Source organism: Homo sapiens, chromosome 4, assembly GCF_000001405.40.
Source record: "Homo sapiens chromosome 4, GRCh38.p14 Primary Assembly".
NCBI lineage: Eukaryota > Metazoa > Chordata > Mammalia > Primates > Hominidae > Homo > Homo sapiens.
Genome location: NC_000004.12, coordinates 64,874,868 through 64,901,059, shown reverse-complemented (window position 1 = coordinate 64,901,059; position 26,192 = coordinate 64,874,868). Strand labels below are relative to the sequence as shown.

The 26,192-nt window shown below is 35.0% G+C and overlaps 1 long non-coding RNA gene across 2 annotated transcripts in view; it reads right to left on the bottom strand.

Annotated features, from left to right (window-relative positions):
• Positions 1-10,229: 10,229 nt before the first annotated feature.
• The window catches only part of LOC107986284 (uncharacterized), a 116,209-nt gene continuing 100,246 nt past the window's right edge, over positions 10,230-26,192 (bottom strand). For both annotated transcript variants that reach the window (XR_001741712.2, XR_001741711.2), the window contains one exon: positions 10,230-12,587. This is a non-coding gene — a long non-coding RNA (uncharacterized LOC107986284). The remainder of the gene's footprint in view (positions 12,588-26,192) is intronic.

The following is a 26,192-nucleotide window of genomic DNA, read 5'->3' as shown; positions in this document are numbered from 1 at the left end:
TAAAGAAACTATTTCTACCCTGGGACTTTCCAGATTGGAAAGCAATTTTTTTCCTCCTTTCTAGCTTCTCTAGCTGGCAAAATGTTCTCAAAGTAAGCAATTGCCTCAAGGCAGAGAAGAAATTGAGGATAAAGCTACAAGACTCTGTTAATACAGCAGAAAGATATATGCCAATGCTTTTTAGGCCCTGTTTTCTTTTTTTTTTTTTTTTAACTTTTTTTTTTTAATTTTTATTTTTTTTATTGATCATTCTTGGGTGTTTCTCGCAGAGGGGGATTTGGCAGGGTCATAGGACAATAGTGGAGGGAAGGTTGGCAGATAAACAAGTGAACAAAGGTCTCTGGTTTTCCTAGGCAGAGGTCCCTGCGGCCTTCCGCAGTGTTTGTGTCCCTGGGTACTTGAGATTAGGGAGTGGTGATGATTCTTAACGAGCATGCTGCCTTCAAGCATCTGTTTAACAAAGCACATCTTGCACCGCCCTTAATCCATTTAACCCTGAGTGGACACAGCACATGTTTCAGAGAGCACAGGGTTGGGGGTAAGGTCACCGATCAACAGGATCCCAAGGCAGAAGAATTTATCTTAGTACAGAACAAAATGAAAAGTCTCCCATGTCTACTTCTTTCTACACAGACACGGCAACCATCCGATTTCTCAATCTTTTCCCCACCTTTCCCCCCTTTCTATTCCACAAAACCGCCATTGTCATCCCGGCCCGTTCTCAATGAGCTGTTGGGTACACCTCCCAGACGAGGTGGTGGCTGGGCAGAGGGGCTCCTCACTTCCTAGTAGGGGTGGCCGGGCAGAGGCGCCCCTCACCTCCCGGACGGGGCGGCTGGCCGGGCGGGGGGCTGACCCCCCCACCTCCCTCCCGGACGGGTTAGGCCCTGTTTTCTAAACCAAAGAACTTCTGAAAAAAATCGTACAGATCTTGATGTCCAGCAACTGGACTGAAGTCTAGGCAAGGTAGAGAGCAGCATGACTTGAGGTCAGCTGTGTGTTCGGCTTTTGTCTAATTAAGCGAATCTCAGTAAGATTCGTGAAAAATCATCTGAGTTTTGAAGAGTTTTGTGTGTCATCAAGAGCACCACAATATTGGAATTAAAAATGAAAGATGTTAAAATGGAAATAATCTTCAGTGTTCCTAAACTTCTATGGGCAGAAAGCACTCTAAGAATGCTACTCACCTGCAAACATAAGCCACTTCTTAAGGATAAGAAAAAATGACTCTGAGGTGGGGCCAAGTGCTCAGAAAATAGAGCAGAGAATGTTAAGAATGCCAACTCTTGGAGCAAAACTGGTCTTACTTACATGCAATTTATGCTTCTGAATAGATGGAGTTAGTCATATATGCCTGGCAGTCTCTCAGAAATGCTATAGTGCAATGCTTGCTATGTGTTTATCATTTTTCCCTTTTGGAACTACTATGATTACTACAGCAGCATGACTGTGACTACTATTTCTATTACTGTATAACAGCTACTTTCATTGAAGGTCTTTTTTTTTTTTTTTCAGATTTAGAACCCTAATTCTTTTAAGGTCTATGCAAACACCGCATGTTCTCACTCATAGGTGGGAATTGAACAATGAGAACACATGGACACAGGAAGGGAAATATCACACTCTGGGGACTGTTGTGGGGTGGGGGGAGGGGGGAGGGATAGCATTTGGAGATATACCTAATGCTAAATGACGAGTTAATGGGTGCAGCACACCAACATGGCACATGTATACATATGTAACAAACCTGCACATTGTGCACATGTACCCTAAAACTTAAAGTATAATAATAATAAAATTAAATTAAAAAATAAAAAATTAATAAAAATAACTTTAATGAGAAAAAAATAAAGCAGTTTATTGCTCAAATATTCTAGACAGCTAATTATCACAGTTTTGAAAATGTGGCTCATTTGGTAGGTCTTTGTGATCTTGAGATATCATTCAAATATTAATAAAAATAATTAGTGAATCAATTTTGAAAGAAATTGGGTTATATTGTTTGGGTAAAGTGGGGTTAATGTGCGGCCTAAACACAATTCTCAAAATTGCATTATAAGGGGAGATTATCTACTTTTCTATATCCATCCATTCATGAAAAATTAAATTGTCATCCTGAGCACTTCAAAATAACCATAAGATCTCTGGTCAAAGTCAAAGTGTGAAATTACCTTCCCCACATACTTCTAGATAGTCGAGATTTTTTTTTGTCCCTGGGAGTTAAATGTTAACATTTCTGTCTTTATGTATGGAAAAATTCTGATGTAGTTACACAGCTGTAAATTAGGTAGACTTTCCACAGTTCAAGAGAAAGAAAGTGAACAAAACAAGGAAACTGAAAAAACACTAGTTGCATTATAAATTTTTAGTCTTGGGGACTATGTTATTAGAAATATAATTTCTAGAGACAGAGAACAGAGCCTTCAAAAATGGGTAATTTCACTGTAGTAGTATTTTAATTTAAATGATATATATTGGTAAGATATATTTTAAACTTAATCCATTCTGCATGTTATCTAATCTACATAAATTGTACAGACTCCTACCTAGAAATATAGTATGCCAAACGAATCATTGTCGAAATCCAAAAACATTGTTTAAACCTAAACTCACTTTGGCACATTAAAATGTAGTGAGCCTTTTAATGAAAAATACATTAAACTTATTATTTTTATGCCCTGAAATGACACAACTTTATATTATAAGTGCTATTCAATCATTTTCTTCTGTTTCACCTATATTTTTGCAATAGGAATTTCAGGAGTTTTAAAAATTTGTATGCATTTTTGAAACTAAATTTTTTTACAGCAAATCTTAAGGCAACTTTACAGGGAAAAGAACGTTGTTAAAATAAATTTTCCTTCAGTTTGGAGTAGACCAAATATTTGTAATTCAAAAGAGCAAATAGCTACACATTCTGTAATAGCACCTATGACAATTTGCATAGATTTCTAACCTTATGTTAAAGGTTTTTGCTGTAAACCGATTTTTAAGTAGGTTCACCTGTTTCTCCTCTGTGCTCAAGTAGAAACGATTGAAATTCTTTTTAAAACACTGAAAAAAATGCCTCATAGACATTCAGCTACTGTCAAGGAGAGGGAATATATATAGCTAGGCACCATCATCTAACATCCTTCTAAAGACTTGTCAAATCTGTACGTAACGGAGAGATCATTTCTGCATTATAGGCATGAAAATGGTTGTAATTAACTTCTCAAATCCAACAGCATGGTGAGAGAGATAATTATAAAAGAATTCAAACCAATCTCAGTTTAATTATTCTGCACAGAGATGGGGAGGGGGCATTTCCAATAGCCTCCTGTTGTGCTATTGAAACCAAAGCAAGCTTGATTAGGACAGATTGTGTCAAGTTTCTTTTCATCCAAATAGTTATATTTACTCTCAAAGTAAAATGCAAGTGGTAACCTTTCTCAACTTACAGAACTATTGCATAAAACTTAGTTTAAAAGTCTTTCAAAGAGAAGGTGGGTAATGAATTAAGTTGAGGTTATACACCTTGGAGAAGAAAGTTTCTCAGTCAAGGATTCAAATCTGATTTGACAACAATGGCAACAAATTAAAACATGTCATTGTTTTTGACAGGTTTAAAGGCCCCTCTTATTTGATTTGTGCCATTATAATCTTCAGTGTGAAGGGAAGGAGAATACTACAATTTCTAATAACAGAGGAACTATACAAGTGATATTATTATTGTTATTATTAACCTGAATATCTGCATATTTCTGTTCTTTAGATTTTTAATTTGTAAATCTTTGAAAATTAGTAAAAAAATTCTGTCTTCCTTCTTTTAAATAGAAGGAATATTGAATTATATCACTGTTATTGTGTTGAGGTGTTCAAATGATTACAATAATGAATGAAGGACACAGAATGAAGTGAGTAGGTATTGAGGAGAAAGCTACTAAAGCCTAATTAATATTATTATATGAGTACTTCTCATGAAGTGCCCAGTCCTGATCAACTAAGGGACATTGCTTATGTGCCTTCTGTAACATCATTTGTTTTTGTATTATGTCGTAAAATAAAACATACAGTCAAAAATATTAAAACAAGAATTTAAAAATATACCATGCAGAAGAGACTGGGGATTAAAATAAGCAACATGACCTTTGTTTGCTAACATATAAGAGATGGCAAGTATTTGTGAAATATAAAGCTAAGAAGACATTGTTATGTGCATTATTAAGCAATCTGGTCTTATATCAACTTTTGTTTAGAGAGTATGGGCATGAACATTAATTATTATTTCATGTAACCATTGTTCCGTCAGTCATAAAATATATCTGGGAATCTAATGTTATATAGACCAATAAATAATTGTAATATATTTTATTGATTCTTACTTTATGCTTATATTCAGGTTTAAGTTTTAATTTCCAATCCCATTTTTATATTTTTACTTCATTTGCTGTTTATTCTAGTAGTACTAATGAAATAAAATGTACACTAAAAAATAAACTACATGATAGTCTAAAAATATTTTGAAGAAAATGAGAATCAATTATCTCATGATTGTATAGGTATAAGAAGTATGTGGAATGCTTTAAATGATAAAGCTTGATTAAGTCAAGTTAAGCCATGCTGACTTATTTTTCAAGTCTATCCCTATTAAAGACCAGTTTCTATGACTGCTCAGCACATGTAGAAAACTACAAAAGATTAGCTCTTTACAAAATTATTTCAAGTGCTGGTAAGTAAGTGATTATTCTTAGTTATCTTTTCCCACTTTTGATTTTTTGCCTTGCCTTTCAATGAGTACTCTAAATTATTTTACCCGAAAATGTGTTAATAATTAGTTCCAGAAAAATAAGCCATAGAAGCAGAATTCGCAATGTTAGTTCTGAAAATGTTGATGGCAGCAAGTGGTCAAGTGATCACATCTTTTTTTCTTTTTCCCGAGATGGGGTTTCACTCTTATTGCCCAGGTTGAAGTGCAATGGCGTGATCTTGGCTCACTGCAACCTCCGCCTCCTGGGTTCAACCAATTCTCCTGCTTCAGCCTCCCGAGTAGCTGGGATTACAGGCACCTGTCACCACGCCCAGCTAATTTTTTGTATTTTTAGTAGCGACGGGGTTTCATCACGTTGGCCAGGCTGGTCTAGAACTCCTGACCTCAGATGATCCACCAGCCTCGGCCTCCCAAAGTTGGGATTACAGGCATGAGCCACCGTGCCTGGCCATGATGATAAGGGCAATGACTAATATTTTGGTCAAAAAATACAGGAACTAAACATTGGGTAGGTTCAGATACAGGGAAGAAGGAAATTTACTTCAAATAATATTTTATTAGCAAAAAAAATCAACATCATTTTTTTAACCCCCAAATTGCTACAAATTATCAAGGGGTGATCATTTACATTACTAAGTTCACTTGCTGCCAATCCCATCACAGGCACATCTTTAGAATCTCTAAATAAAATTGATGTTAACAAAACTATTACCAATATTATAAATACTTGGACTTAAAGAATCCTAAACTTATAAAACAGCTTATAAATATTTTGTCCAAATTATCTACCAATTTAGAGATTCCTTCTGCCAACCCTGACAAGTTGAAAGCTTCCAGAAAAAGAGTAGTTTACACTTTTTAGGAAAAAAGAAAGTTCTGGAATGCAACAAACCCAAGTGATATTTTGCAAATATAATTGTTCTTAAAAGTTTTATAAAGCAGTAGATTGACTTAAGTGATAAGTGGCTGTGTGTGTGTGTTTGTGTGCATGCATGCATTTTTATGTTCATATGTGTGTGATCACATATGAATGTATTTATGTATATTTTATTAACATTGATGAATTTGATGACAAGGCAGGTTTCAAATTTCTATCTTTTGACAGAACCACCCCTGTTTTTTCACTGTAGTAAGTTTAAGTGTTGCTTTATAATGATTATTCAATCAAATGGTATGCATATTACCTGATTTAGTTTAGAGGGTTCTCTGGACATGGAATGTTTCCCTGCTTTATTTGGGAGTGACTTTTGAACACACTGTTTTTCTATCCTACTTGTCAATGAACAAGGCTTCTGCCGTTGAGAGTCACTGGCAAGAGATTGGACAGTGCAGGGTTGAGGGAGAAAGCTGAGCAGTTGTGTCTCTTTCTTTCTGCTTAGTGGCATCTTGTACAGTGCTTCTGCTTCATCTGTAGTCCCTGCTTCCACCTTCCACCAGCAGATTCACTGGGGTTTCTTCTACTGAATGTATCCAAATCATGGGCTCTGGTCCTCTTGTTTTCTTCCTTTGTCTTTCCATCCCTCGGAATGGTAGGTGATTCTTGCTTTTGCTAATCTTGGAATTTCCTTACTACCCACTGTTTGAGCATTCTAGGCATGTTTGTACTTAAATCCTTTTCTTAAATTCCCTTTATTGAATTATGCAACATTCTTTTAGATTCCCTGCTGGAACCTGACTTAAACCGCTGCCATTAGTTGATAATGGACATGTAAGTGATAATCTAGAGGAAAAAATACATCACATTAATATTATATATTCCAACAAGTTATGCAAAATTTTTAAAAAGAGATAAACAAGAATAGTCAAAATCTGTCAACAATGCCCCTAGATATTACTTTAGGGTTACTGTTGAGACTGAGAGACCTGAGCTGATACAGTCACAGTTTTCTTCAATGATAATATGAAGTTTGAAAAAAAAAATTACAATAAAAATTTAGTTTGGGCTGGGTGCAGTGGCTCATGCCTGTATTCCCAGCACATTGGGAGGCTGAGGTGGGTGGATCACCTGAGGTCAGGAGTTCGAGACCAGCCCGACCAACATGGTGAACCCCATCTTTGCTAAAATTACCAAAATTTAGTCAAGCATGGTGGCACACGCCTGTAGTCCCAGTTACTTGGGAGACTGAGGCAGGAGAATTGCTTCAACTTGGGAGGAGGATGTTGCAGTGAGCCAAGATCACGCCACTGCACTCCAGCCTGGGCAACAGAGCAAGACTCTGTCTCAAAAACAAACAAATAAAAACAAAAATTAGTTTGTAACTAGTTTTTTTTAAATGTAATCATATTTCATATTTTATAAATAAGTAGTAAAATGTAATCTAAAGTACATATTTAGTTTAGTTAGAATCTGCTGGAATTCCTCAAAAAATGTTCAATAATTTCGTAAGCTTACTTGAACCAAATATGTACTATTACATTGTATAAGGAAATAAATGTGACATACCTTCAGCTTTGTCTGCCATTGATAAGAATCTCTTGGTCCTTTCGGATATAAATATCTAGAACATTTTTCTCTGTTATGAAATGCAATTTCCTGCAAATAGCAGATTTTGGCATTTTGATTTCATGGGATGTCTCCATTAAATAGTAATTTATAAAAAAATGAAACAGGTAATACTGCTTTTTAAGGTGTTTTATTTTTGAATCTATTTTATCTCACAGTAGTTTTTTTTTTTTTACTTTGTGGCAAGAAAAAGTAAGATAAAATATTTTCTTTCCCTGTATTTGTGTTACCTAGAAGTGGTTCATATTTAAAGTTTATTCTTTTCACCTTGGACAATCTGACAAGGACAAAAGGTTCATATATCACGAAATACCCTGAACTGGGAGGTAAGGCTCTCTCACACATTGTGTACACAGTGTCCTACAGAGGTGACTATAATGACTGTAATACATCATCCGGAAACGGGGCTGCAGAAGCAGGGTGAATCCACGTCCCAGGAACAAAGGTTATTTATTTCTACTGTTTTGATAGGAGCTGCTAGAAGCATTTTTCTAATGGTCCTAATGAGTCTCCGAAGACCTTGCTTCTTGTCTTGTTTCTTACAGTACCTAAAAATAGAAGTCAGTATTTGGCAGCAATAAAACTAGAAAAATAGATTCAAAAGCATTCAACAAACCACTTTAAAACATTTATTTATTTTTTCTCCTGGATGGACTGTAGAAGAGTTTAAGCTTGTATCCTGTGGTTATCTTTAATCTCTTTAGGCAACACCAACAGTTGATATAAAATATATGTAATATATGCTGAAAGACTGTCTCAAATCCTTTGGATCTTAAAAGTATGGCACTTCCTAATCATGTACAGAATCATTCAAATCTATTTGAATTCTGTTCTCTGATTATATGTTTAATATGTTTACTACCATGATCTCCAAATATCAAATATACAAACTTCTCTTTGAGAAACAGCTTTGTTTACTACAAGAGTAATGCTTAAAAGTACTCTTGGTAATTTTACAATTTCTGAGTTACACAAAAATACTTTAGCTGCACAGTTTTCAGAATGCTGCCAGCTGGACATTGCCCTCTATATATTTTTAAATATTAGGAATAAGGGGGTCTTGGGATAATGCAGGCAGTTACACTGGATTAATCTTGACCTTATCAATATGACAACCTGGTGGTTAACCAGGCATCCCAGAACAGTCATTCATTGTCATAGGCCTGACACTAGAATAGACCATCCCAAAAGGGATCAGACTCAGAAAAATTTGTTCAAATCTGTAAATTTATACAAACATAATTTTGAACAGAGAAAATATAAGAAAGATTTTTGAGAAAATAAATTACTAAAATAATGTTACATTTACACTTAACAACTAGTTCATTTTATATAATAGAAAAAAATGTATATGCACTTATATGAACTTTAACTTTGGCCCAGTAACTTTGTCAAGTCACTTGGCATTTCATATGTTCTTTTTCACTTTCTGAAAAGATATCACTATTCACTCTTCCTCCTTCCTTTGCCATTTTATACATCCAATTGCTTACTTTTTCCCCTTCTTTCTTTGACTTTCACTGCCAGAAAAATTCTGTTTCACTTTCTATTAAAATGACAAATTAAGATTCCTATTTAAACTTGATTATTAGTAATATTGTAAAAACAAATGTGTAAATGTTAACTGAGTTCCTTGAATACATAAAAAAAAAAAAAACTTAAGTCTCTCAGTATAAAATAAACAGTGCACACAATGGGGGAGTGCTTTTATTTCCTTCTCCTACTGACAAGAGTAGAAGTCTGTTTTTCGCATAAACTACGTAAAATACATTTATGTATTTTAAAAATATACTATAGGTTTTAGTTTATGTTAGTTTAATCCTGACAAAATATTTTAAGTGAGATAAATATGGTGTATGTTCAAAGTAACAAAAGAAAAATTGAAATTATGTTGAAACCCATCGTGAAAAATACAGACGTTTTACCCCAAAAATGTAAAACTAAGAGAGTATGGCACTTCTTAACTCTGTATGCAGTTGCCTATTTTAAAATTTGTTTTAGCAGTTCAATCTAGATGTTCTGTTAATAATTTGACCCCCGCCTAAAGTCATTAAAAATTTATAAAAATGCATATAAAGTAGAAGACTCTTGAACAAGAAAATGCTATATAGATAGATATTAAAAAGGAACAAAGATTGTCTGAACTCTAAATTAATGAAATGACTGGATCTAGTCTTAAAAAGTCAGAATGACATCCCATGGAAATTTTAAAATAAAAAGTTAGAGGAAAGTGTGTATCTGCAGAAGATTTAGCAACTTCTATGTTTTAAGTTAATTACTCTTGAATTTGTCCCTTGGGTACTTAAACTGAGAATAGGAATTACATGTGAGTTTTTAAAATTTATTTAAAATTTATCTATCTGAAATATATTGAAACTCTCTCTAAGCTGAATTCCTGTGAGAAGTCTTATTATAATACATTGCTTCTATTGCCTCATTTTGGTGAGCAACATCATTTATTTTACTTAACATGGGTGAGTAGTTTATTCTCATGAACTATATTATCTTAAATAAGTTCATCTTGCAAAAATAACAATGATTACTATTCTTATTGCTTATTACGATGTACATAATGTGTAGCTAGGTCATAACTTTTCCATTTAGAAACAGTTCTCTATAAAATAGGCATAAGGATAATTTGTTACAAGAATTTTAAAATATGCTTGTTTCCAAACCCCAGAAATCTATTAACTCTCCTAATAAATTTGCAATAACGGCAAAAATATTTTTCTTTTATTGCATATCGTTTATAGTAATAATGCTTTCCTGTCATTATCTATCATCTATAGAGACCTAATCTTTTTTCTTCAGTCAAAAATCTAAATGATACCGTACATGACTGACTACTTTATCGTTTTATAATACAAAATCAGATGTATGCTCATTTGAATGACACAAGAAATCAATATACATACTTATTTAAAATGTTTTAGTATATTTAAAATGAATGAATAAAAATAATAGGTTTACACTGAGAGAACAAGTGAACATTGTGATGAAGGAGAAACATAGAATCCAAAAATAAATTTTAATGATAAGATTTTGGGGAGTGGAAAATCTAATAGAAGTGATATATTTAAAAGTCACAGAAAAAGAAAGTTTTAATATACATTTAAAGCTGATTAATTAAAGGTGCAGATATAATGCAAATGCTAGGTTCTTGTGTGGGTTTTTATTTATTTATTTTTTAAAGCCTTCCTTTGCCTCCGTTTGGAAAAGCATGATTCATGGAATAATGAATAGCTGTATTTTGCTTCACCACTAAGCAAGACCATAGCCTTTTTCAGACATGCAAATGAAACCATCCTTGGAGTTCTTTTAGGATGGTAGCCAGGAAATTTGCTGTATTGAATGGATAAGGAAAATGAATTGTTTAGGGTGATCCAAGGGTGTATAAGTAGAAGTAATGGCATGAAACGAAGTGAAAAGAAAACCTGGGCTGATCTTCAAATTGATGTCCTGAGTGAAGTTTATTAGGCTACATAATTGTCTCCCAAGGGAAATAGTGAAAGCACCATTATTTTAGTCACTTAAAATTAACCAGGCAGAATATTCCAGGACACAATGTAAAAAATAATCCTGTATTGCCAGAATCAGATGGAAGAGATGATCTAACAGGTCTTTCCCATCATTAATTTCCAGTCTATGAACGACATCGTAGCTGCAATTAGCTCTGTTTAAGTGAAAGAGCAATTTTAGTACTACTCCTAGCTTCCCTGGAGCTAAAAAGTCTGGACCTAATTCAAAATAAAAACAAGAGGAGGAGTGCTGGAGCCAAACACAATTACAATAAGTATATCTAGAAGGGTCAAAAGAAGGAAATTCTAATGTTCTCAGTGCTACTATACACAACTGTTCGTTCTGTTTTTTTTTTTCTTTATTCTAAAAGAAACTTTGGTGGCTATCCCAGTATTATTCCTTTTCACTCATGCTTTATCTTGATTCATTGATTTATTCTCAAGCTCAGGAATAATGAGTGGTTGGAGAATTTAAGACTTGGCTCTCTAGGTAGCCACTTAAAATTTGTTCATGTCTTTATTCTCCCCATTTGCATGTTATTTTATCAAGTAAATTCTAAAAATTCAAAACATGCAAATCACTCCCCAGTGATTCTGTAAAATGAGACTGACCAGAGCCATCAATTCCTGGATATTTAACTCACTCAATACCCTTAGTAACTCTCCATGTAATAATTTTTTAAAATTATGTAACTTTTCTTCAGATGTCTGTGAATGATTTATTCTTTTTTGTTAGGTAAAAAAATTAGAGAAATGTGAATAAGCAGCTCTGTGTTTTTGGCTCTGATTTTAAATCACAACATAACGTTAAGAATTTGAATGAGAAGACAATTTGACTATCACGCTTTTTAGCAGTAAACAGGCAAAAAGGCAAAATGAACACAAAATTACAGAAGACTTTTCCCAGTGAAAGGAAAACTATTATTATGTCAGTAATTGTGATCACAAAATTTATCCAGCGTTTGTGGGAAAAAGAGTTTAGCTGATTGTACCTACAATATACTGGTGATATTTGTCCTACTTATTCAAAAGAAATAACTCATGTTTTTTAACTCTACAGTCGTTGACAAGCCACAGTCTCTACCTTCAAAAAGTCCACATATTTATTATTCCTGGGTGGTTCAAGGAGAGAATCACAGTTTGCTATTCCATATATGTGTGTGTATATAGCGAAGATATGAAAAGGCATTTCTGGACTTTAGAACTTTAGGGCAGAATGAAAAATAACACACAAATTATAAGTATGTAGTCTGAGGAATAACAGTTTTATATGGCCAAAAGAAGAGCATTTAGCAAATAGTGTTAAGAAAAAGCTAGGAACAGTAGAACAAGGAATAGTAGAACAGCCTGTGGCAGAATTGAGGCCTTGCAAATGATCACCATGAAGATCCCAATACTAGAATTTGGTGTTTGGACTCCTTTCCAGACACAGCTCTGCCCGCCATCATGGCTGGTCCCATCAGGCTGTGTCCATGGGACCCCTTACTCCCTGGGGAGCTGGACGTCTGGCCTCCTGCTATAGCCTCTGCTACAATGCTGGGCAAAGACCAGGTGCTTACCAATAGCCACAGTTTCAATTATTTTAGGAAGGAAGAAGAAAGTGAATGGCATTTGGGGGTGCTTTTATGTAAGCCTCACCCCACCACACTGGGGCCTTCCATTCTTCCAAGGACATCCATCCATGCCATTGCTGGGTTCTTTCACCTCCCTGCTCAAGAAAGATTATCCCGTTTTGCAGATCCTCTTCACCACGGCTCACTAAGGGACAGTTCTGCAGCAGGCATCCCATGTAGGAAGCTCAAGGAGGCCGTTGTCACTGGAGAGAGAACCAGAAGGGACCTTAGAAGTCAGCTTACTCAACCCTCCTGCCTCCAGTCCCACTGTACAGATGATGAAACTCAAGCCCAAAAGGGCAGGGTTGCCCCAGGTTCCACTGTGTATAACAAGGATTCTGAATACAGGTTTGCCTCATTTTATTTATTTTCCTTTTTTTTTTTTTTTTTTTTTTTTTTTTTTTTTTTTTTTTTACAAATTTAAGATTTGTGGCAACTGTGCTTTCAGCAATTCTATTTGCGCCATTTTCCCAACAGCATGTGCTCACTTTACGTGTCCGTGTTGCATTTTGGTAATACATTATTTCAAACTTTTTTTTTGTTATTGTTATATCTGTTGTGGTGATCTGCCATTAGTAATTTTTGACTTTAAAATTACAATTGTTCTGGAGTATCACAAGCCACACCTGTGTAAAATGGAAAATTTTCGACAAATACTGTGTGTATTCTGACAGCTCTACTGACAGGCCACACCCTCATTGCTCTTTCCTTTTCAGACATCCCTATTCTCTGAAGGAAGTCATTATTCCCACAATGATATTAAAATTAGGCCAATTCATAACCTTAAAATGACCTGTTAAGTGTTCAAGTGAAAGGAAGTGTCACATGTCTCTCATTTTAAATCGAAAGCTAGAAATGATTAAGCTTACTGAGGAAAGTATATCTAAAGCTGAGATAGGGTGGAAGCTATACCTCTTGTGCCAAAAAATCAGCTAAGTTGTAAATCCAAGGAAGGGTTCTTGAAGGAAATTAAAAATGCTCCTCCAGTGAACACATAAATGGAAAGAAAGTAGAACACCCTTATTGTTGATATGAAGAAAGCTTTCATTGTCTGGAAGGAAGATCAAAGTAGCCGCAACATTCACTTAAGCTAAAGCATAATCCAGAGCAATGCCCTGACTTTCTTCAATTCTGTGAAGGGTGTGAGAGGTGAAGAATCTGCTGAAGAGAAATTGGAAGCTAGCAGAGGCTGGTACATAAGGTTTAAGGAAAAAAGGCCGATGTCTAGCATGAAAATGCAGGGCACAGCAGCAAGTGCTGAAGTAGAATTACAGCAAATTATCCAGAAGACCTAGCTAGGATGATTACTGAAGGTGGCTACACTAAAAAGCAGATTTTCAGTATAGATGGCACAGCCCTCTATCAGAAGAAAATGCCATCTAACATTTACATAGCTAGAGAGTAGAAGTCAATGGCTGGCTTCAAAGCATCAAAGCACAGGCTGACTCTTTTGTTAGGGACTAATGTAGCTGGTGACTTGAAGTTGAAGCTTATGCTCATTTACAATTTTCAAAAACCTAGGGTTTTTAAAAATTATGCTAAATTTACTCTGCCTGTGCTCCATAAATAAAACAACAAGGCCTTGATGAAAGTATATCATCATGGTTTACTGAATATTTTAAGTCCACTACTAGGATCTACTGATCAGGAAAAATATATATTTCTTGCAAAATATTGTTGCACATTCAAAATGCACCTGGTTACCCAAGAGCTCTAATGGAGATGAACAAGGAAATTAATGTTGTTTACATGCTTGCTAAAACAATATTTATCCCGGAGTACATGGTTTGAGAATTTTAACTTTCAGGTCCAATCATTTAAGAAAGATGTTTCCGGACGGCTATGCCTGCCACAGACAGTAATTTCTATGATAGATCTGGGCAAGGTAAATTAAAACTTCCTGGAAAGAATTCACCATTCTAGATGCCATTCAGAACTTTTGTGACTCATAGAAGGAGGTTAAAATATCAACATTAACAGGAATTAGAAAGAAGTTGATTTTAATCCTTGTGGATGATTTTGAGGGGTTCAAGACATTAGCAGAGGGATTAACTCCACATGTGACAGAAATAGCAAGAGAGCTAGAATTGGAAGTGGAGCCTGAAGATGTGACTGAATTGCTGCAACATCATGATAACACTTGAATGAATGAAAAATTGCTTCTTGTGGATGAACAAAGAAAGTGGTTTCTTGAGATGGAATCTGCTCCTGGAGAGTGTGCAGTAAATAATGTTGAAATGACAACAATGAATTTAGAATATCTCACAAGCTTTGTTGGTAGAGCAGCAGGGTTTGAAAGATTGACTTCAATTTTAAAAGTTCTATTGTAAGTAAAATGCTATCTAACAGCCTTCCATGCTACAGATAGATCTTTTACGCAAGGAAGAGTCCATTGAGGTGGCAAACCTCATTGTTTTCTCATTTTAAGAAATTGCCACATTTATCCCAACCTTCACTAACCACCATCCTGAGTAGTCAGAAGCCATCAACATCAATGCAGGGCCCATAACCAGCAAAAAGATTGCAACTTGCTGGATGCTCAGATCATTAGCAATTTTTAGCAATAGTTTTAAATAAAGTTATATATGTCATTTTTTAGGCATTATGCAAGTGCACATTTAATTGACTACAGTATAATGTAAAGATAGCTTTTATATGCACTGAGAAATCAAAAATTTTCCATGACTCACTTATTCTGATATTTGCTTTATTGCAGTTGTCTGAACCAAACCTGTAATGTCTTCAAGGTAGGCTTTTATTATGGCCTCCATTAACTGGCCATAGAAAACCATTGAAATACTCTTTATTTGTTTGTTTGTTTGTTTAGCTGAGGACTATCCTGATCAAATATGCATACTTCAAAGATTGCTTCAATGGACCGAATGGAAGGAAGAGGTTGCTGATACCATGGAAATCAGTTAAAAGGCTCATGAAAGAATGCAAACAAAAAGTTTTTTCAACTGAATTTGTCCTGCTCTACACCTCTTCCTCCACCCCTCCAAAATAAAACAAGATAATACTGCCAAATCTTGGATAAGTATTATTCTTTCTATTATAATCCAGAGGAGATCAAACGCAGTTAGGCTAAAGAGATTTAAAAAGTTTATCCATGTAATTTATGGCAAGATGAATAGCACAGTAACCTTGGCTGAATCAGTACGTAGAGCACCAAGCTGAATTTCGAAAGGATAACAAATGGAAGCAGAAACCACCCTGTAATCGAAGCTACTAAGTTCAAAATTGGCCTGAGGAATTTCACCTGCTGTTGTGGACTTATTTAACAGGTAAGATTGGGAGTCAGTGCTATCACTCTCCTAATATTAGATGAGAGAGTTAATAGAGTAGAGGCAAAGTTCCAAAGACCATACGAAGGAAGGGACTTTTAATCTCAACAGCATCACTCATTATCAAAAAGGAGCACCACAAAAAAATTACCATAAAGGTAAAATATGTATTTTTCTATGGCCACTTTTAGAAATTATTTTTCTTGGCCATATTTTCTTAGAAACATGGGCATGACAACTTGAACATTCACTTTATAAAGATCATGTCACTCTGCTACATTTAATGGAATATTATTTTAATCACATTTAAAACAACCTCTATTATTGTTACCTAGATATAATTTTCTTTAGCAATTAATCTACACATTTTTTTATTTATTTTAAACTTTTCAACTCATCTTTATTATAAACACCAGAACTTTCCCAAAGCCTGTTACTACAGAATACACTTTACTATTGAAGAAGCTTAGACCTTATCATTGGAGATATTTTCACCCATCATAGATTTCTATAGAAATAGCTTCTCTGTTTATCAGGTGAGCTCCAGTGTGTTTAAAGTCATAAGATGTTTTATGTAGCCTATCTCTGTATATCAGAAGGTGAACATACATTATCTTAAAAGCTTCTCTAGAAATGACTGGCTCCTCATTCACCATAGTGACCTTATATCCCAAGGTCATCAGAGAACAGAGAAAAGATAAAACACCAGAACCCTTACAGATTTCTCAGCACCTACACATGAACTTCCTTGCCTCACAGTCCTCCTCCTCCTCTTTGTTCACTTGCATTAGAATAGATCTTCTAGGTGTATGTGGGAAGTATTAAATATCACAGGGTACATAGAGCTAAAATGGGAAGGATGAAGGGTGCTTCCAAGGATAAATGTGTTCAAATCATGGGGCAAAGTTGGTATCCTCTTTGTGTCTCACCTAACAATGTTCCTTGACTATCTTTCTTGACATGTGAAACTTTATAGTATGAAAGAAAACTGAATTTGGAACAAGATTGTCAAATATTATACTCAAAAAAGGTATTTTCTTAAGGCATTTATGTGTTGATCTAAAATGTGTCCAATTGAAATTTATCTGTCAAAACACAATGCCTTTCTGGTAATCTTGGGCTCTAAGAGGCAAATGAAATCTCCCAAGAGATGCAAATCATCATCTTCTTTATCAAGTTACCTCCACATATCTAGGGAGCTTGATTACTGAAGAACAGTACTAATACTAGCTTTCCTCTGCAGTATATGAACTGCTTTTCAATCATTTTATAGAAAAGAAAAGTGATCAGTAGGTATTAACAACCTATCTACGATAACAATCGTATTTTTCTGAATTCACAAAAGTTTTTCATAAACATTTTTAAAATCTACTTTTTTTCCTGCAAGTATTTGTATGCTTGGTTTTTGCTATGTGCTTTGCAAATATTTTCTCTACTTCTCCTGTAAAGTAGGCATGATTTTCTAATTTTTGCAGATATAAAAACAAAAGTTGAGTCCGGTTCTGGAAGTAAAGGGTGAGTCCAAGAAATCCCTGAATGGATCCACCATCTCTGGCCTAATCAATGTCACCATGAAGGGGACCTGCAGGCATTAGAGTGGGTCTTAGTCATCATCTCCATGACTGAGCGGTGAAGAAGGAACCCAGGTGCCACTCATTATTGGATCTCTCTCAGTCTCAGAAAATAAGCTTTGCACCCGGGGCAGAGATGAGGAGCAGATAAAGTAGCAGCTCCCAGTGACCTCAAATCCACAGAATCTTTCAGTTACGTGTACTGTAAGAAATATTTAAGATATAATTAACTGAAACACACTAAGAAAGATACTATGTGCAGTAGATTGTTATAAAGAAGGTAAACCAGGAAGCAACTCTGTGGTTTATGAGGTGGAAAGGCTTGAGGTTTGATGTCGTTAAAGGGAATTAAGTACAGAGGCCACAAATGTTACAGGTGGTGCTGCAGTTGAAGGCAGAAAATATGCAGCGATCATAACTCTAATACATATTACCCACAACAGATTACCTCCAAAATGGTGACAGTCAGGCCACCTCCAAAATGATGAGTCAGGAAAAGATGAAGTTAGAGAGCTCTCCTTGAAAGCAACCCAGTAGCTTCTTTCTTATTAAATGAGAAAATACTATTACTCTCTATCACTATATGTTAAGCTTCCCTGAGCTGAGAACACTGACAGCCATGGCTAAGGTACAGGAGGTAGACCAATGAGACAGAACATGCACTAGGAATGAAGATGAACACTTTGAAGAGGACCAGCTTACCAATGACAGCTTAGAGATACCATCAGTAAAGAGGGTAAGAAAAAATCAGACAACAAAACCCAGGAAAAACAGCTACCTCAATTTTGGTACTGCTATCCTTTTAATTACCTACCCAAACACAAGAAAATTGATAAAGAGGGGAAATCTAGCATATTACTCATCTGAAAACAAAATCCCTTATCACAGAAAATCTTAAACTCTTGCTACACAAAGTGTAATTCAGGGACAAGCAGCAGCGCCATCTCATAGAACCTTGTTAGACATACAGAAACTGAAACCCCACCTCAAATCTACTAAGTCAGAATCCTCACTTTTACAGTTTTCTCAGTTGTACACATTAGGGTTAAGTAGCACTCCCTTAAATCACAATAAGCCTGCTACAGACTGAATATTTGCATTCCTCCAAAATTTATATGTTGAAATCTAACTCCCAGTATGATGGTATTAAGAGGTGTAGCCTTTGGAAGTTACTGAGGTCATGAGGCAAAGTCCTCATGAATGGGATTAGTGCCCTTATCCAAGACATGAGAGTGCTTGTTTTTTCTCTATCTGCTCTCTGCCATATGAGGATACACTCAGAAATGTCCATGTGCAACAAGGCAGCTGGGCCCTACCAGACACCTGCTCTGCCTGCATCTTGATCCTGGACTTCTTAGCTTCCAGCACTATGAGAAATAAATTTCTGTTGTTTGTAAGCCACCTAGTCTAGGGTGCTTTGTTGTAGTAGTCTGAATTAATTAAGATAAAGGCAAAGGGACACGAGCAGCAGATCAGCCAGATGGGCACAATACATCTGCTGCAAAGCTGTGCAAGGGAAAACTGATTTAATGCTGCCTTGGCAACTCTATATTCATCTAGTTTAGTTATTCAACGAGAAGTAATTGACATGAAATTACAGCAATAAGATTTGAACTAAAGGAGATAGAAAGAGCTCAGATGGTAGAAAATGTTTAAAATGTATGAATGTGTGAAGTTTACTGTCTTAAAATTGTTAATAGGTTTGAAATATCTTAAATAATTAGTAAAATAATAAACATAAATAAAATATGACAAAAAAAAATTACCTGTCAACAGAATAAAAAGGTCAGTGTATATGGGCAATCCTTTTGTTATATTTGTGTCTTAGTCCATTCAGGTTGTTATAAAAAATACTTTAAACTCAGTAATTTATACACAACGTAAGTTTATTGCTCACAGATCTAAAAGCTGGAAAGTTCAAGATTAAGTCACCAGAAGATTCATTATCTGATGAGGGCTCTCTGCTTCACAAATGGCACCTTCTTGCTGTATCTTAGATGATAGAAGGGTAAGGAGAAAGGCAAGCTCACCTAAATCTCTTTTTTTTTTTTAAATAAGTGAACTAATCACATTCATGAGAATATTAGTTTCAACATCTAGTCACTTTCTAAAGGTCCTGTCACTTAATACCAACATATTGTGGCTTAGATTTCCACATATTAATTTGGGGGGACACAAAATTCAGACCATAGCATTTGCCCCTGGCCACTCAAAATTAATGTCCTTCTCACATGCAAAGTAAATTAATTTAATTCTAGTAGCCCCAATTTCTTAACTTTTTCAAGATAAACTTTAAAGTCTAAGTCCAGTCTCAACTAAATATCATCTAAATTACATAGAGGTGAAATTAAAGGTGTGATTTATCCTAAGGCAAATTTCTCTCCAGCTGTGAGCCTGCAAAATCAAGTAAGTTATGTGCGTCCAACATAAAATAGTGAAACATGCATAGAATAAACTTTTTCGTTCCCAAAAAGGAGAAATCAGAAGAAACCAAGGAGTAACAGGTCTCAAGTAAGTCTAAAACCCAAGAGGAAAAACAACATTCAATTTTAAATCTTGAAAATAATTTTCTTTGACTCAATATTACAACTTCCAGACACACTGGCTTGTGGAATGAACCTCCTCAATATTACAACTTCTAGACACACTGGCTTGTGGAATGAACCTCCAGGCTCTGGACAGTCCCTTTCCCATGGCTTAGCTGGGTGTAGCCCAATTCTAGGGATTGAGAAGTTGGAGATGAAGTTTGCAGCTGATTTGGTGTCTGGTAAAGGCCCTCTGCTTCATAAATGGTGCTTTCTTCAGGCATTCTCATATAGCAGGAGGGCAAAGGGGAAAACAAGCTCACTCAGACCCCTTTTATAATGGCACTAATCCCATTCTGAAGGGTTCTATTCTTATAATCTCCTTACCTCCCAAAGGTCCCACTTTTTTTTTTTTTTTTTTTTTTTTTTTGGAGACGGACTTTTGCTCTTGTTGCCCAGGCTGAAGTGCAATAGCGGATCTCGGCTCACCGCAACCTCTGCCTCCCTGACCTCAGGTGTGCCGCCCGCCTCCGTTTCCCAAAATGCTAAGACTACAGGCATGAGCCACCGCGCCCGGCCTGGCCCCACTTCTTAATATCAACATATTGGGGATTAGATTGCAACATACGAATTTCGGAGGCATGCAAACTTTCAAACTATAGCACCTTTGTCACTAAGTTTTTCAGGTAAGAGACAGGAGCTACAGATGTAGGATTTAACATACTAGGGTAAAAAAATCTGAAGTTCTAAGTTTGAATGGAAATATTTATTTGAACTAATGATTCATATCTTTAAAATGTACAATTTATTCCATTTTCCCTTTCCTTCATCCTGCTCCTCTTCCTCCTACTCCTTCTTACCCCTTCCTCTTTCTAAACTTTTGAAATATAAGGACTATAATTAGATTCAGGTTAGATCTTTTTCTTTTCTTTTCTTTTCTTTTTTTTTAATGCAAGAATGCCTTATAGGTGGCTCGTGTTTTTTCATCTAGAGGTACAAATAAGCTTTTTGTCTTTGTTTTCGTCATACTAGTGGCTATTATTATTGCCTAAATCAAGAATTTTATTAGGAGTTTATAAAATGGGATTTGTATATAATTTCTTCTTTTTCTACCAACTACAATAATTCTAAAGAGAGACACATTTTCTTGAGAATTATTTGGTTATCTATGGTAGATTTAGAAATAAAAATCAAGATAAATATTTGATTGTTTTCTTTTATTTGTCATTTTTCAAACAAGTTATTTCTAGACATTTTCCAAAAGTACCAATGGGAATTAATCTACAATATTTTAGTGGCTTAATAAACTAATGGAATTTGACATACTATGTTCCAATCCATTGCAGTTACTCCTTTTGATGTATTTCCCACCTTCGATCTATGGAAGCCTCCTCAAGGGAGTTTATTTTGCAACTCCAGCCGTCTTTGATAGCATTCTTGCTCTTGTGATGGCAATGTAATTTGTACCTTTTATGTCTCAGACTGGGAATGAATAATTTAAAGGCACCTTTAGAGTTTTTCACATGTCCTCATATACAGTCAATTTGAACAAGTTAAAATTTTTAGGGAACCTCATCTTTAATATAACATTACAAACTGTTTTCCAGTAGTAACCAACTGTAAACCATTGCTAATGAAGAACTTAAATAACAACAACAATAACAACAAAACAATGGTGGAAATATAAGTAGGATAATCTTTGAGAGTATAATCATTGAACTGAATGAGAAAGGAGGAGCTTGGCCTTCAGAAATAAGATGTTTTATAAAGAGAAGGTGAAGGGATTTTAGAAATATTATCAAAGAAGATAAGGCTTGAATGCTCAATCCAGAATAAATGTAGGCCACTTAAAAATATTTGATTGCAATTTTACATAGAGAAAATTTACAAATGATAATTCTGTACTTCTATGAATTCTCACAAATGTGACCAGGACCCAGATGGCAGAAGATAAACTATACCCCAGAAGCCACCTTCATTGTTCTGATTAAAGGAAGAACCAAGAATGAAAAATAAGTATGATGATGCTATTTTAGTATAGGAGGAAAAGATAAGCAGAGAAAAGAAAAGGAGAAAAAGATGGAAGAAAGAAGGAAGGAAAGGAGAGATAGAGGGAGGAGGGAAAAAGATTGAAAAGCATCCCAAAGGTTTAAAATCACTAGAAGGAAGAAAGTTCCTAAGAGAAAAAGAAATCAAATTAGGGAAAAATATACACCAGATTCTGAATCAAGGATAATGAAACTCGTAATAGGATATCTCCATCTCAGATTCCCCCTAACTCTAACAATTAGCTTCTTCTTCTTAGCTAAGGAGTGTCAAACATAGAATAATACATTTAGTAGGAGACTAAATTTTAATAGCATATTCCTTTCCATTCTTAAATAGAATTTTGCCACCCAATGTATCAAAGTGAGAACAACAGGTTTTCCAAAAGGGAGAAATAACGATATAATTTACCTGATACTTTTGTTAACTCATCTTCAAGAATGAACTGCTAAATATTCTGAAAATTCTCTAAACATTTCAGCATGTCAGACTCAGCACTCAAAACAATTTTGATGTTTCTACAATCTATCATATTTTGCTTAGTGAATGCATCTTTTGCACTCAAGAGTTTAAGTCCAGGTAGTACAATTCTGTTGCTTTCTAATGCTGAGCTACATTTCTAAAACAGTTCTTTTCCTAATACTTCTAAACCTTCACTGATCCAAATATACAAGCACATTCGTCAATAAAGGCAGACATATTTTAATTCACGTATACTTCACAAATCTTGAATTGTTACAAGCTCATTTACAGTTCAGCAAGGCAACTGTGATTTAATAAAGAACAGATAACACCAAATTATTTTTTTCAAGGAAAGTACATAAAATAGGAGGATGAATACACTGGCAAAATGTTTTTATTTACTCAAAAAATAACCTTGAAGTAAACTAAAAATATGTACTGACAAAGTGATCTAAACTGAGAAAATGTCATTAGATCACTGTGATATTCAATCTCTTACTAATGACAATATGTGACAAATATTGTGAGTACCTACACAGCTGCTTAATACAACTAGAAGGAAAACTCAACTATTCTATTTCAAAGCTATTTCTCCAGAAGTCTATATTGGAACAATTTTTATTTCTAAAATACATATAATTTTCAGTAATAAGAAATCAGTCAAAACTCTTATTACAATAGAAAAATTTAACTCTCCAATTTTATGCCACTTTCTATGAGGTTAAATTTAACTTAATGTATCTTTCAACTAATCCTTTTAAATCTGAACATTCCTTTCCAACATCTATACAATGTCTTGTGCATGCACAGTACTCCATTTTCCTTGGAAATTACAGGTATTTCTCATTTTATTGTGCTTCATAAACACTTTTTTTTAACAAATCAAAGTTTTGTGGCAGCCTTACATCAAGTAGGTTTTTGACACCATTTTTTCCAATAGCATGGGCTCACTTCATGTCTCTGTGTCACAATTTTGTAATTCTTAAAATATTTCAAGCTTTTAATTATTATTATGTCTGTTATTTTAATTATTATTTTGTCTGTAATGGTTATCTGTAATCAGTGATCTTAGATGTTACTATTCTAATTGTTTTGGGGCACCAAGAACTGAGCCCATATAAGATGACAAACTTAATTGATAAATATTAGGTGTGTTCTGACTACTCCACTGACCATCCATTCCCCACTCTTTCTTCCTCACCTCATTCAGGCCTCAAACAAACCACAACATTCTCTTTACCCAAAGCCCAAACCAGAGCAAGGCCATAACACTTTTCTATTCTATAAAGGCTTAGAAAGGTGAAAAAGCTGCAGAAGGGAAGTTGGAAGCTGGCAGAGGTTGGTTCATGAAGTTGGCTTACAATCTCCATAACACCAGATGTCAAGGTGAAGCAGCAAGTGATGATGTAAGCTACAGTAAGTTATACAGAAAATCTAGCTAAGATAATTAATTGATAGAGGTGGTTACACTAAACAAATAATTTTCAGTGTAGATAGAACAGCCTTCTATTAGAAGATACCATCTAGGACTTTAATAGCTAGAAAGGAGGAGAAATCAATGCCCCACCTCAAAGCTTAAAAGGACAGGCTGACACTCTTGTTAGGGTTAATGCAGATGGTGACTTGAATTTGAAGCCAATGCTCATTTACCATACCAAACATCTGAGAGCACTTAAGGTTTATGCTAATTCTACTTTACCTGTATAAATGGAACAACAAAGTAATATAGTCAACACTATAAATTGAACAAACAGATGATGGCACATTTGTTTACAGTATGGTTTAGTGAATATTTTAAGTCCACTGTTGAGTCCTATTGCTCAGAAAAAAAAAGATTCCTTTCAAAATGTTACTGCCCATTGACAATGCACTTATTCATACAAGAGCTCTCTGATGGAGAGGTACAAACAATTTAATATTGTTTTCATGTTTGATAAAAACCACATATATTCTGCAGCCCATAGGTCAAGGCATCATTTCACTTTCAAGTCTTAATACTTAAGAAATACATTTCAAAAGGCTTTAGCACCATAAATAGTGATTCCTCTGATAGATGTAAGCAAAGTAAATTGAAAATATTTTGGAAATTATTCACTATCCTAGTTTTCATTCAGCACATTCATGATTCATGAAAGAAGGTCAAAAGCAAACATTGACAAGAGTTTGGAAGAAGTTTATTTCAACCCTCATCAATGACTTTGAGTGGTCAAAACATTAGTGGAGAAAGTAACTGCAGATTTGGTGGAAATAGCAAGAGAAGTAGAATTAGAATTGGAATCCGATGATGTGACCGAATTGCTGCAATCTCATGATGAAACTAGAAGGGATGAAGTGTTGCTTCTTATGAATGAGCAAAGAAAGTGGTCTCTTGAGAGGGAATCTATTCCTGGTAGAGATTCTGTGAACATCATTGAAATGACAACAAAGATTTGAGAACATTTTATGAACTTAGTTGACAAAGCAGTGGCAAGGACTGAGAGGATTGACTCCAATTTTGAAAAAAGGATTACTTGATTAAAATTCTACCAAACAGCACCATCTGCTATAGAGAAAATTTTTGTGAAAGGAGGAGGCAATCCATGTGGCAGGCGTTATGTTTGTGTTATTTTTAAACATTGCCACATTCATCCCATTCAGCAACCACCATCTTGATCAGTTAGCAGCCAGCAACACCCAAGACTCTCCACCAGCAAAAACGCTACAACTTACTGAAGTCTCCGATGCTTGTTAGCACTTTTTAGCAATAAAGTGTTTTTAATTAAGGTATATAAATTGTTTTTAGACAAAATTGTATTGTACATTTAACAGACTACAGTATAATGTAAACATAACTTATCTTGTATGCACTGAGAAACCAAAAAATTCATGTGACTTGTTTTATTACATTTGCTTTTTGCAGTAGTTTGAAACTGAATCCACAGTATCTTTGAGGTATACCTACATATAACAAAGTTTCTTTAGAATGTATTACTTTGTAATTAACCATAACAGAATGCTCTCAATACAATAATACTTGTTTTGCTAGTTTAATTTATTTCTGTTAAGAGGTTGATTATCAAATATTTATGTTATTAGTTTCATATAAATACATGATTTTTTGAGATATATATTTTGAATACTTGAATATTTTTGATATATATATTTTGAATACACACTTGGGGCAATATGTGTCTTGATATTTTAAAACCTACCAACCGCAACTTCTACTTCTAGCCATAAGGGCATATTCCCCTGTATTTTACAAAGTTATTAGTTTGTAACATATTGGAAAAAGAAAACTGGTCCTTCATTCCAAGTCTTTTGAGAAGCAAATATCCATTCTACTGCAGCCTAGATTGGAAGAAAATTCAAAGGAACTCTGCTTTGTTCCTATGTTTTGGAGCTAAACTTTCCCTTTCCATACTATTATATAAAAAGAAGTCCAAGTTCTTTCAACCTCTATTCCATAGGCTTTGAAGATTGATTGAATTATTAATGCCCTAAAAATCTCCCAAACACAATGAGGCATTCATTAATCCAGGATGAGCAATCGGTAGGCAGTTGATTTGCTGCAGGCCAAAGGATGGTAACAAAATGTGCATATTGGCCCTGAATTAGTTTCCACAGGATTTCCAGTACTTGGACCTAACCGCCTACATTTGGTCTTCTACCGACTTCTCTCACCAAAGATGAATAACTCTGTTTTTCTTCTGTGGTTCTTGAGAACTTGAGTTTCCAAGGCCCTGGTGTTCCTCCTCCTTCTTTCCTATTACTTCCTTAAATAAATATTAATCTAGTTTCTGCTGCCTGAAGAACTCTTTTTAAAAACATGAACATGAATCTTTTTGACCAGTGCAATATTCACAGCCTTTGTGCTAGCCTTGTAATAGAGGGCTCAAACAACTATGAGGGGTAGAAAAAGAGAAAGGGTATGCAGTAAA